The sequence below is a fragment of the Homo sapiens genome, chromosome 11 (assembly GCF_000001405.40).
Source record: "Homo sapiens chromosome 11, GRCh38.p14 Primary Assembly".
In the NCBI taxonomy this organism is placed as follows: Eukaryota; Metazoa; Chordata; class Mammalia; order Primates; family Hominidae; genus Homo; species Homo sapiens.
In genome coordinates, this window is record NC_000011.10 from 18,661,168 (window position 1) to 18,675,036 (window position 13,869).

General features: G+C 42.6%; 1 pseudogene, besides 2 other annotated features; it reads left to right on the top strand.

Annotated features, from left to right (window-relative positions):
* SRSF3P1 (SRSF3 pseudogene 1) lies at nucleotides 3,763-5,317 on the top strand (annotated as a pseudogene).
* Nucleotides 5,861-6,061: a silencer, noted in NCBI's record as "peak1228 fragment used in MPRA reporter construct". NCBI's record gives its function as "represses an SCP1 promoter by STARR-seq MPRAs in K562 erythroleukemia cells {active_cell/tissue: K562}" and the evidence as "EXISTENCE:reporter gene assay evidence [ECO:0000049][PMID:32103011]".
* Nucleotides 7,289-7,790: an enhancer, noted in NCBI's record as "H3K4me1 hESC enhancer chr11:18690003-18690504 (GRCh37/hg19 assembly coordinates)". NCBI's record gives its function as "activates a minimal SCP1, AML or CMV promoter by ChIP-STARR-seq in primed H9 embryonic stem cells {active_cell/tissue: H9 hESC(primed)}" and the evidence as "EXISTENCE:reporter gene assay evidence [ECO:0000049][PMID:30033119]".

A 13,869-nucleotide genomic window follows, 5' to 3' on the forward strand; every position in this document is an offset into this window, starting at 1 on the left:
AATGGTAAAGGGATCAATTCAACAAGAAGAGCTAACTACCCTAAATATATATGCACCCAATACAGGAGCACCCAGATTCATAAAGCAAGTCCTTAGAGACCTACAAAGAGACTTAGACTCCCACACAATAATAATGGGAGACTTTAACACCCCACTGTCAACATTAGACAGATCCACGAGACAGAAAGTTAACAAGGATATCCAGGAATTGAACTCAGCTCTGTACCAAGCGGACCTAATAGACATCTACAGAACTCTCCACCCCAAATCAACAGAATATACATTCTTCTTAGCACCACGTTGCACTTATTCCAAAATTGACCACATAGTTGGAAGTAAAGCACTCCTCAGCAAATGTAAAAGAACAGAAATCATAACAAACTGTCTCTCAGACCACACTGCAATCAAATTAGAACTCAGGATTAAGAAACTCACTCAAAAGTGCTCAATTACATGGAAACTGAACAACCTGCTCCTGAATGACTACTGGGTACTTAACGAAATGAAGGCAGAAATAAAGATGTTCTTTGAAACCAAGGAGAACAAAGACACAACATACCAGAATCTCTGGGACACATTTAAAGCAGTGTGTAGAGGGAAATTTATAGCACTAAATGCCCACAAGAGAAAGCAGGAAAGATCTAAAATTGACACCCTAACTTCACAATTAAAAGAACTAGAGAAGCAAGAGCAAACACATTCAAAAGCTAGCAGAAGGCGAGAAATAACTAAGATCAGAGCAGAACTGAAGGAGATAGAGACACAAAAAACCCTTCAAAAAAATCAATGAATCCAGGAGCTGGTTTTTTGAAAAGATCAACAAAATTGATAGACTGCTAGCAAGACTAATAAAGAAGAAAAGAGAGAAGAATCAATTAGACACATAAAAAATGATAAAGGGGATATCACCACTGATGCCACAGAGATAAAAACTACCATCAGAGAATACTATAAACACCTCTACACAAATAAACTAGAAAATCTAGAAGAAATGGATAAATTTCTGGACATATACACCCTCCCAAGACTAAACGAGGAAGAAGTTGAATCCCTGAATAGGCCAATAACAGGCTCTGAAATTGAGGCAATAATTAAGAGCCCACCCACCAAAAAAAGTCCAGGATCAGGCAGATTCACAGCCGAATTCTACCAGACATACAAAGAAGAGCTGGTACCATTCCTTCTGAAACTATTCCAATCAATAGAAAAAGAGGGAATCCTCCCTAACTCATTTTATGAGGCCAGCATCATCCTGATACCAAAGCCTGGCAGAGACACAACAAAAACAGAGAATTTTAGACCAATATCCTTGATGAACATCGATGCAAAAATCCTCAATAAAATACTGGCAAACCAAATCCAGCAGCATATCAGAAAGCTTACCCACCATAATCAAGTGGGCTTCATCCCTGGGATGCAAGGCTGGTTCAACATATGCAAATCAATAAACGTAATCCAGCATATAAACAGAACCAACGACAAAAACCACATGATTATCTCAATAGATGTAGAAAAGGCCTTTGACAAAATTCAACAGCCCTTCATGCTAAAAACTCTCAATAAATTAGGTATTGATGGGACGTATCTCAAAATAATAAGAGCTATTTATGACAAACCCACAGCCACTATCATACTGAATGGGCAAACACTGGAAGCATTCCCTTTGAAAACTGGCACAAGATAGGGATGCCCTCTCTCACCACTCCTATTCAACATAGTGTTGGAAGTTCTGACCAGGGCAATCAGGAAGGAGAAAGAAATAAATGGTAATCGATTAGGAAAAGAGGAAGTCAAATTGTCCCTGTTTGCAGACGACATGATTGTACATTTAGAAAACCCCATCATCTCAGCCCAGAATCTCCTTAAGCTGATAAGCAACTTCAGCAAAGTCTCAGGATACAAAATCAATGTGCGAAAATCACAAGCATTCCTATACACCAATAACAGACAAACAGAGAGCCAAATCATGAGTAAACTCCCATTCACAATTGCTTCAAAGAGAATAAAATACATACCTAGGAATCCAACTTACAGGGAATGTGAAGGTCCTCTTCAAGGAGAACTACAAACCACTGCTCAATGAAATAAAAGAGGACACAAACAAAGGGAAGAAAATTACATGCTCATGGATAGGAAGAATCAATATCATGAAAATGGCCATACTGCCCAAGGTAATTTACAGATTCAATGCCATCCCCATCAAGCTACCAATGCCTTTCTTCACAGAATTGGAAAAAACTACTTTAAAGTTCATATGGAACCAAAAAAGAGCCTGCATTGCCAAGTCAATCCTAAGCCAAAAGAACAAAGCTGGAGGCATCACGCTACCTGACTTCAAACTATACTACAAGGCTACAGTAACCAAAACAGAATGGTACTGGTACCAAAACAGATATATAGACCAATAGAATGGAACAGAGCCCTCAGAAATAATGCCACATATCTACAACTATCTGATCTTTGACAAACCTGACAAAAACAAGAAATGGGGAAATGATTCCCTATTTAATAAATGGTGCTGGGAAAACTGGCTAGCCATATGTAGAAAGCTGAAATTGGACCCCTTCCTTACACCTTATACAAAAATTAATTCAAGATGGATTAAAGACTTAAATGTTAGACCTAAAACCATAAAAACCCTAGAAGAAAACCTGGGCAATACCATTCAGGACATAGGCATGGGCAAGGACTTCATGACTAAAACACCAAAAGCAACGGCAACAAAAGCCAAAACTGACAAATGGGATCTAATTAAAGAGCTTCTGCACAGCAAAAGAAACTACCATCAGAGTGAACAGGCAACCTACAGAATGGGAGAAAATTTTTGCAATCTACTCATCTGACAAAGGGCTAATATCCAGAATCTACAAAGAACTTAAACAAATTTACAAGAAAAAATCAAACAACCCCATCAACAAGTGGGCGAAGGATATGAACAGACACTTCTCAAAAGAAGACATTTATGCAGCCAATAGACACATGAAAAAATGCTCATCATCACTGGCCATCAGAAAAATGCAAATCAAAACCACAATGAGATACCATCTCACACCAGTTAGAATGGCAGTCATTAAAAAGTCAGGAAACAACAGGTGCTAGAGAGGATGTGGAGAAATAGGAACACTTTTACACTGTTGGTGGGACTGTAAACTAGTTCAACCATTGTGGAAGTCAGTGTGGTGATTCCTCAGGGATCTAGAACTAGAAATACCATTTGACCCAGCCTTCCCATTACTGGGTATATACCCAAAGGATTATAAATCATGCTGCTATAAAGACACGTGCACACGTATGTTTATTGCAGCACAATTCACAATAGCACAGACTTGGAACCAACCCAAATGTCCATCAATGATAGACTGGATTAAGAAAATGTGGCACATATACACCATGGAATACTATGCAGCCATAAAAAATGATGAGTTCATGTCCTTTGTAGGGATGTGGATGAAGCTGGAAACCATCATTCTGAGCAAACTATCGCAAGGACAGAAAACCAAACACCGCGTGTTCTCACTCATAGGTGGGAATTGAACAATAAGAACACTTGGACACAGGGTGGGGAACATCACACACCAGGGCCTGTCATGGGGTGGGAGGAGGGGAGAGGGATAGCAGTAGGAGATATACCTATGTAAATGATGAGTTAATGAGTGCAGCACACCAACATGGCACATGTATACATATGTAACAAACCTGCACATTGTGCACATGTACCCTAGACTTAAAGTATAATAAAATAAAATCAAATAAAATTCAGGAGCCATTTCATGGAAGCCGGGTGAGTGAGAGCATTGGTGGGTGTTGGGCCGGAGGAAAGCAGGAAGGCCCATCGGAGCATGTGGATTTGAGCCACCACATTTTTTAACCCTAGATCTCGAAATGCATCGTGATTCCTGTCCGTTGGACTGAAAGGTTTATGTAGGCAATCTTGGAAACAATGGCAACAAGACCGAATTGGAACGGGCTTTTGGCTACTATGGACCACTCCAAAGTGTGTGGGTTGCTAGAAACCCATCTGGCTTTGCTTTTGTTGAATTTGAAGATCCCCGAGATGCGGCTGATGCAGTTCCATCCCCGAGAGCTAAATGGAAGAACACTATGTGGCTGCTGTGTAAGAGTGGAACTGTCCAATGGTGAAAAAAGAAGTAGAAATCATGGCCCACCTCCCTCCTGGGGTCGTCGCCCTCAAGATGATTATCGTAGGAGTAGTCCTCCACCTCGTCGCAGATCTCCAAGAAGGAGAAGCTTCTCTCACAGCTGGAGCAGGTCCCTTTCTAGAGATGGGAGAAGAGAGAGGTCGCTGTCTCGGGAGAGAAATCACAAGCCGTCCCGATCCTTCTCTAGGTCTCGTAGCCGATCTAGGTCAAATGAAAGGAAATAGAAGACAGTTTGCAAGAGAAGTGGTGTACAGGAAATTACTTCATCTGACAGGAGTATGTACAGAAAATTCAAGTTTTGTTTGAGACTTCATAAGCTTGGTGCATTTTTAAGATGTTTTAGCTGTTCAAATCTGTTTGTCTCTGGAATCAGTGACACAGAGGTGTAATTCTCTATGGTTTGAAATGGATCATATGAGGCATGTAATACCAAGAATTGTTACTTTACAATGTTCCCTTAAGCAAGATTGAATTTGCTTTGAACTTTAGTTACGCATAGACTGACAATAAACCTCTAAACCTGCCCAGCAGAAGTGTGATTTTTTTTTTTTAATACAGAAGCAACTGGCAAAAATTGAACTAAGATTTACTTTTTTTCCGTAGCTGGGATATAGGATGCAGCTATAGTTGAACAAGCAGTCTTTAAAAACTGCTGTGAAACACAAGCCATCAGGTAAAAATAAACGCTGCACTATTAAATTACAGGTTTTTGAAAAATCCAACTCACTTTCATCCTGGGCAGAGGTTGCCTAGTTGGTATAGAATCTGTTAAGTTTCAAGAAAGTTTGCCTTTGCTTTAGGTCATAAGTTACTTATTTGATTGCTGTATATGAATACATGGCTGTTCGTGACATTTTTTATGTGCAAATTTGAGATTTCAAAAATGTCCTGCCAGTTTAAGGATACATTGTAGAGCCGAACTTTGAGTTACTGTGCAAGATTTTTTTTTCATGCTGTCATTTGTAATATGTTTTGTGAGAATCCTTGGGATTAAAGTTTTGGTTACAAATTGTTGTTTAACTTGAAAGCCTGTTTTTCCTTGCAAACTCAAATCTGTGAGCTGAGCTTGGTACCAAGTCCAGGTATAACATTCCTATTGGAAGCCATACTTATATTTTCTCGTAAAGTGCTTTTGAATTAATAAAGTATTAGAAAAAAAAATTCAGATTGCTGAAATTTTGGGGAGATTAATTTGAGCAATAATAAAATTCTGGTCTCCTATACAGCCAGTTCTGCATGAATTAAACTCCTTCTGTATTCTAATTCCCCTGTCTTTTCTTTTTTTTTTTTTTTTTTGAGACGGGGTGAAAGCAAGTTTATTAAGAAAGTAAAGGAATTAAGTAAATTATTAAGAAAGTAAAGTAAAGGGAGTCTCGCTCTGTCACCCAGGCTGGAGTGTAGAGGTGAGATCTTGGCTCACTGCAAGCTCTGCCTCCTGAGTTCAAGCAATTCTCTGCCTCAGCCTTCTGAGTAGCTGGGATTACAGGAGCCTGCCACCACGCCTGGCTAATTTTTTGTATTTTTTGTAGAGACGGGGTTTCAGCATGTTGGCCAGGCTGGTCTCGAACTCCTGACCTTGTGATTTACCAACCTCAGCCTCCCAAAGTGCTGGGATTACAGGCATGAGCCACCACGCCTGGCCACAGTTCCCCTGTCTTGATGCATCAGCTTTGTCTAGGCAGCAGGCAAGGAAAACCTGTTGAGTCGTTACACTGCCACAGCCCCCAAATGAAACAGTTATATATGCTTGAGTTTTCCCTCCTCCCCTGGGCACCCTCTGAGTTATGAAGGTTCCTCCTGAAACCAGGGCCACATAAAGTAAGGGAGGAGACCATCCCTCATATTGTCTTATGCCCAATTTCTGCCTCCAAAGAAAGAAGAAGTAAAAACTAGAAGAAGTAAAAGGCAGAAATGAAATCCACAGGCAGACAGCCTGGCACCGTGCCCTGGGCCTGGTTAAAGATTGACCCCTGACCTAACCAGTTATGTTATCTATAGATTGCAGACATTGTATGGAAAAGCATTGTGAAAATCCCTGTCCTGTTCTGTTCCGTTCTGATTACCAGTGCATGCAGCCCCCAGTCACGTACCCCCACCTGCTCAATCGATCACGACCCTCTCATGTGGACCCCCTTAGAGTTGTGAGCCCTTAAAAGGGACAGGAATTGCTCACTCGGGAGCTTGGTTTTTTGGATATGTGTCTTGCCGATCTCCTGGCCGAATAAAGCCCTTCCTTCTTTAACTCAGTGTCTGAGGGGTTTTGTCTACAGCTTGTCCTGCTACAAAAGGAGCACATTATTTCAGTCAGCACTGTGCTGATCTGTGTTGACTCCCAGGATGGGAACAGGACAGTATTTCCCAAACTTTAATCATTTCAGAAGCTGCCTTATGACTTTTGCCATTTCCACTTATTATCTGTACTATTCAATCCCTTTTCTTCAGGTTTTTAAAGATTAAATTTTTTTTTCATTTTTTTTTTTTTTGAGACGGAGTCTTGCTCTGTCGCCCAGACTAGAGTGCAGTGGTGCGATCTTGGCTCACTGCAAACTCTGCCTCCTGGGTTCAAGCGATTCTCCTGCCTCAGCCTGCCACTGCACCCAGTTAATTTTTGTATTTTTAGTAGAGATGGGGTTTCACCATCTTGGCCAGGCTGGTCTTGAACTCCTGACCTCGTGATCCACCCGCCTTGGCCTCCCAAAGTGTTGGGATTACAGGCGTGAGCCACCGTGCCTGGCCTTAAATCTGTTTTAAAAAGAAATCTGGGAATTCACTATCACTCGACTTAAATAGAAGGCAACTGTAAAAACATATGCAATAAAATGATTAAGTTCTGACTAGATACAGTTTTAAAAGAAATTAGCAAAGTGTTTGGAGCTAGGATTCAAACCCAGGATTGAGCCAGAGACAAGGTCTTAACAACGGTGATTCATGTACCGCCTAACCGTGCCATTTAGGAAACCACTGGGGAGGAATGTAGTAGAATGGAACTTGCTGAGAATGAGAGCCAGTGAGGAATGGTGGAGGGTGGGGACTGAAATTTAATGGGAAGCCTTGGAATAGGGTTGCCAGATATATTACAGGACACTCAGTTAAATTTGGATAAAAGTATGTCACAACTAAAAAGGTACTTGCTTGTTTGAAATTCAAACTTAACGGGAGATCCTGCATTCTTATTAACTAAACCTGGCAATCCTAAAAACTTAACGGGAGGTCCTGCATTCTTATTAACTACACCTGGCAATCCCACCTAGGAATCAAGGGCATGATTCCAGCAGGAAATTTATCCTCAGGGAGAGGCAGGCAGTAGTTGCGTCTGTGAGGCCTGTGGTAAGACTAACCCCTGTCACTAGGCAGCAGTAGAGAACCGAGCAGAGCAGGGGGAGGGGCTGATAGTGGGGAGAGAAGAGCGGACGGGTGTGGGACTTTGGGGCCGCTCTAGGTCCTCATGCAGAATCTCAAATCAAATTAGCAAAAGACAGGAACAGGCAGCTCACAGACAAACAGCTTATACATGGCTAATAAACAAGAAAAGACGGGCTGGGCGCAGTGGCTCACGCCTGTAATCCCAGCACGTTGGGAGGCTCCGGCAGGCGGATCACCTGAGGTCAGGAGTTCGAGACCAGCGTGGCCAACACGGTGAAACCCCATCTCTACTAAAAATACAAAAAATTAGCTGGGCGTGGTGGTGGGCACATGTAATCCCAGCTACTCAAGAGCCTGAGGCAGGGGAATCACTTGAACCCGGGACGCGGAGGTTTCAGTGGGCCAAGATCGTGCCATTGCTCTCCAGCCTGGAGGACAAAAGTGAAACTCTGCCTCAGAAAAAAAGAAACAAAGAAAAAAAAGAAAAAGAAAAAAATGCATAGTCCTACTCATAATTGAATTAGTCAACCTAAAATGAGTTCTTTTCCATCTCTCAGATTGGCAAAAATTTAAATATGAAAAAGATTACTAATACTGTGTTGTGGAAGTGTGAGAAAATACTATGTAGAGCAGAGACTGGTCACAGAAATTCAGGGACTGGAGTTTTTAAGGTTAATTTGGTGGGTAGAGTCTCAGGAAGTGGGGAATGCTAATTGGTCAGGTTGGAGATGAAATCATAGGGAGCTGAAGCTGTCCTCTTGCGCTGAGTCAGTTCCTGGGTGGGGGCCACAAGACCAGATGAGCCAGTTTATTGATCTGGGTGGTGTCAGCTGATCCATCGAGTACAGGATCTGCAAACTATCTCAAGCACTGATCTTAGGTTTTACTGTAACCTAAGATGTTATCCCCGGGAGCAATTTGGGGAGGTTTAGAATATTGCAGTCTCCAGCTGCATCTCTCAGACTGGCAAAAATTAAAATATCAAAAAAGATTACTAGTACTCTGTTGTGAAAGTGTGAGAAAATACTATGTGAGTAGAGACTGGTGCATCCTCTTTGGATTAATATCAAAAGAAGAGATGCACATAGCCTTTAATCAATGACGTAACTCCCAGGGATTTATCAGACAGATTTACTCTCCCTTAGATGTGGAGACATAAGAGGTTGTAAGTGCAACCTGGAGCTGGGTTGCTAGTCCATAAAGCACCTTGGATATCAATGTCGACTCCGCCAGCTGTGATGTCACTTGACCAATGGGAGGAGAGAGGGGAAGCGCTGGCTTAGGGAGCTGAATGTTGTCCACTCCCTCTCCCTGCCCTCTACAGCTTTTTCCCCCCAGCTGTGGCTGCTCTGGGAAGCAGAAGTAAATATTGATTTTTAGAACCATCTAGACCTGATGTCAAATCTGGTTCTGTCACTTACTTGCTGTGTGACCTTGTCCTAGCAAGTTCACCTCTCATTTTATTTTATTTTATTTTATTTTGATATGGAGTCTCGCTCTGTCGCCCAGGCTGGGTGCAGTGGCGCAATCTCCGCTCACTGCAAGCTCCGCCTCCCGGGTTCACGCCATTCTCCTGCCTCAGCCTCCCAAGTAGCTGGGACTACAGGCGCCTGCCACCACGCCCGGCTAATTTTTTGTATTTTTTGTAGAGACGGGGTTTTGCCATGTTGTCCAGGCTGGTCTCAAACTCCTAACCTCAGGTGATCCACCCACCTCGGCCTCCCAAAGTTCTGGGGTAACAGGCGTGAGCCATCACATCTGGCCTCACCTCTCCTTTTCATTCATTTGATGATACATGTATTCAAAAATATTTATTGAGAATTTACTACTAGGCACTGCAATTTTGTGGTGAACAAGACAAAGTCTCTTTATCTCTTAGAACTTTCAGGCATGCAGGGTTGTTGGGGAGACACAATAAACAAGAAAACTAATAAATGGTGTAATATGGAAATGGTAGTAGATACTAAAAAGACAATAAGATAAGATGGTTGGGTATGGTGGCTCACGCCTGTAACCCCAACCAAGGCAGGAGGATCTCTTGAGCCCAGGAGTTTGAGACCAGCCTGGGAAACATAGTGAGACCTTGTCTCTACTATAAACAAAAAATTAGCTGGTGTGGTGGTGTGCACCTGTGGTCCCAGCTACTTGGGAGGCTGAGGCAGGAGGTATCACCTCAGCCCGAGAGGTGGAAGCTGCAGTGAGCCGTGATGGTGTCACTGCATTCCTGCCTGGGCAACAGAGTGAGACCCTGTCTCAAAACAAAAAACAAACAAAAACAATAAAATAAGATAAAATGATACAGTGACCAGGGATGTTGCTTATATGTAATAGGAGATGACAATTCTGTTTCACAGGGTTGACATCAAAATTACATAAGATACTACATATGAAGCACTTAGCATTGTGCCCGAGACAGGGTATTAATTATGGTAACAATTACTGAATGTTTGTAATGTGCTAGACACTGTTCCAAGTACTATGGGTAGACTAACTCATGTAATGACCTTGTTTTCCAGATAAGGAAACTGAAGCACAGGTAGGCTGAATTACTTGCCTAAAGTCAGGGAATTAGCAGAGGATAGAACTGTGACATTCTGGCCTCAGAGCCTACAGTTTTAACTGTTTTATTAAATATTAGTGTCTGTCTGTCTTTCATATCTTGATTAAAGGGGGCTGGAGGGCCCCGAGGAGGGCATGCTCAAATCTGTAGGAGGTGTGGGGGTTGGAGGCCAGGTGGAACCTAAGGCAGCTTGTGGAGCAAATGCAAGGGCACTGGAAGGTGAGTCACCATGTAACCTGGTGATGCTACTATATGACAAGAAAGTGAGAATTGAGGATAATGGAGTTATGAGATAATGGAATAAAGAAGGTGTCTTACTTGGCTCAGGCTCTGGCTGCGATAACAAAATATAGTTGACCCTTGAACAACATGAGTTTAAACTGTGCAGGTCCACTTATATATGGGATTTTTCCCCCATAAATACACTGAAAAATTTTTTTGAGATTTGCGACTATTTAAACATACAGATCAGCCAGGCATGGTGGCTCATGCCTGTAATGCCAGCACTTTGGGAGGCCGAGGCGGGTGGATCACCTGGCATTAGGAGTTTGAGACCAGCTTGGCCAACATGGTGAAACCCCATCTCTACTAAAAATACAAAAATTATCCAGGTGTGGTGGCGCATGCCTATAGTCTCAGCTACTTAGGAGGCTGAGGCAGAAGAATTGCTTGAACCCAGGAGGCAGAGGTTGCAGTGAGCCAAGATTGCGCCACTGCACTCCAGACTGGGTGACAGAGTGAGACTCCATCTCAAAAATAAAAATAAAAAAATAAAAATAAAATAAAAATACAGATGAACCATGTAGCCTGGAAATAAATATAAAAAATAAGAAAAAGTTAGGTATGTCATGAATACATAAAATACATGTAGATATTAGTCTATTTTATCACTTACTACCATAAAATACACACAAATCTATTATAAAAAGTTAAAGTTCATAAAAACATATACACACATAGACAGCACATGGCGCCATTTGAAGTCAAGACAAACGTATGTAAATGTAAAGATGCAGTATTAAATCATAATTGTATGCAATAACAGTAGGATATATTATACTACTATAATAATTTCCTAGCCACTTCCTGTTGCTGTTGTGGTGAGCTCAAGCATGGTGAGTACCCACTTAAAACAGTGTGTGACGCTGATCTCTGAGTGAGCAAGTGAGTAGTTAATCTCTCCAGGAAATTATACATCACAGTAAAAAGTGATTTCTTAGGGCGAGCGAGGTGGCTCACGCCTGTAATCCCAGCACTTTGGGGGGCTGAGGTGGGTGGATCACCTGAGGTCAGGAGTTTGAGACCAGCCTGGCCAACATGGCGAAACCCCATCTCTACTGAAAATACAAAAAATTAGCTGGGCATGATGGAAGGCGCCTGAATTTCCAGCTACTTGGGAGGCTGAGGCAGGAGATTTGCTTGAACCCGGGAGGTGGAGGTTGTAGTGAGCCAAGATCACGCCACTGCACTCCAGCCAGGGCGACAAGAGTGAAACGCTGTCTCAAAAAAAAAAAAGTAATTTCTTCTTGTTCTGCTGTTTTTTCTTTTATTTTTTTTGTTTTTGTTTTTGAGACAGAGTCTCACTCTGTCACCTGGGCTGCAGTGCAGTGGCGAAATTTCTGCTCACTGCAACCTCCGCCTCCTGGGTTCAAGCAATTCTCATGCCTGAGCCTCCAGAGTAGCTGGGATTATAGGTGTGTACCACCTCGCCTGGCTAATTTTTTTTTTTTTTTTTTTGAGACGGAGTCTCGCTCTGTTGCTAGGCTGGAGTACAGTGGTGCGATCTCGGCTCACTGCAACCTCCGCCTCCCGGGTTCAAGCCATTCTCCTGTCTCAGCCTCCTAAGCTGGGACAATAGACATGCGCCACCATGCCCAGCTCATTTTTGTATTTTTGGTAGAGATGGGGTTTCACCATGTTGGCCAGGATGGTCTCAATCTCTTGACCTCAAGTGATCCACCTGCCTCGGCCTCCCAAAGTGCTGGGATTACAGGCGTGAGCCTCCGTGCCCGGCTAATGTTTGTATTTTTAACAGAGACGAGGTTTCACCGTGTTGGCCAGGCTGGTCTCAAACTCCAGACCTCAGGTGATCCACCTGCCTCAGCCTCCCAAAGTGCTGGGATTACAGGCGTGAGCCACTGCGCCCGGCCGCTTTTGACTTCTTTTACGACATGGACCTTTCTGTGATACAGAGACTGAAACTAAAGCATATGGTTGGAGAAGGATTGGTATTGTATAGACAAAAAATTTAGAGAAATGAAAAAGCAAAAAAGACAAATTACAACGTATTTTCATAAAGTTTCACCAAGTGTGCCTGCCTCTCTTGTTTCCCCTTTCACCTCCTTTAGCTTTGTCATCCTTGAGACAACAACACCAACTGCTCCTCTTCCCCTACCTCCTCAGCCTACTCACTGTGAGAATGATGAGAATGAAGGCCTTTATGGTGACCCTCTTCCACTTAATGAATAGTATATATATTTTACCTTCCTTATGATTTTCTTAATAACATTTTCTTTATTCTAGCTTACTTTGTAAGAATAAAGTATATAATACATATAACATACAGAAGATGTGTTAACTTACTGTTTATGTTATCGGTAGGGCTTCTGGCCAACAGTAGGCTAGTAGTTATGTTTTGGGGGAGTCAAGAATTATATGTGGATTTTTGACTATATGGTGGGTTGGTTCCCCTCACCCTTGCGTTGCTCAAGGGTCAACTGTATTATACACTGGATGGCTTAAAAAACAGACATTATTTTCTCACTGTTCTGGAGGCTGGAAGTCCAAGATCGCGGTGTCAGCATAGTTGAATTCTGGTGAGGGCTTTCTTCCTCACATGGTTTGGGGTCAGGGGAGTGAGAAATCAAAAGAAGCTTTCTGGTGTCTCTTATTATAAGGGCACTAATCCAACATGAGCACCCCACACTCATAACCTCATCTAATCCTAACCTCCTCCCGTAGGCCCCATCTCCAAATACCAGCACATTGGGCATTAAGGCTTCCACATATAAATTTTGGGGGATCACAATTCAGTCCCTAGCAGAGGGGATTGACAGGACCTGTGGAATTTATTGCCAGAATCATCTGGATCCACAAATCTCTCCCTGGTCAGGAAGATAGCAGATGAAACACGATAGGAAAAATATCAAGTCCTGAATTTAGATCCAGAAAACTGTGAAGTACAGGATGGAAGAAAATATTTTGGAATTTAATTAACTGCAACCTCAGCCTAAGGCAGCAAGGACAATGTGACCATCAAAAGAGCTGACTCTTCCCCTCTGGTCACATGCAAGCACTATTTTTTTTTTTTTTTTTTGAGATGGAGTCTTGCTCTGTGGCCCAGGCTGGAGTGCAGTGGCTTGATCTCGGCTCACTGCAACCTCCGCCTCCTGGGTTCAAGCGATTCTCCTGCCTCAGCTGGGATTACAAGCGCGTGACACCATGCCTGGCTAATTTTTGTATTTTTAGTAGAGACGGGGTTTCACCATGTTGGCCAGGCTGGTCTTGAACTCCCGACCTCAGGTGATCCACCCACCTCGGCCTCCCAAAGTGTTGGGATTACAGGGGTGAGCCACCGTGCCCAGCCTCTCATACCACTTTCTAAGGTCACGGCTTAGGTAGCTTGGTTGCCATGTCCAAACAAATCTTGCCATCTGCAACCTTCTTCCCCAGATATTTCCCAACAGCCTCAGTTGTCCTATTGCTTGTGTACTTTATGAAACACTGATATATTAATTTTAACTATTACCTAACTTACTGCAATACATTAGGCCTTTGTATAGATAG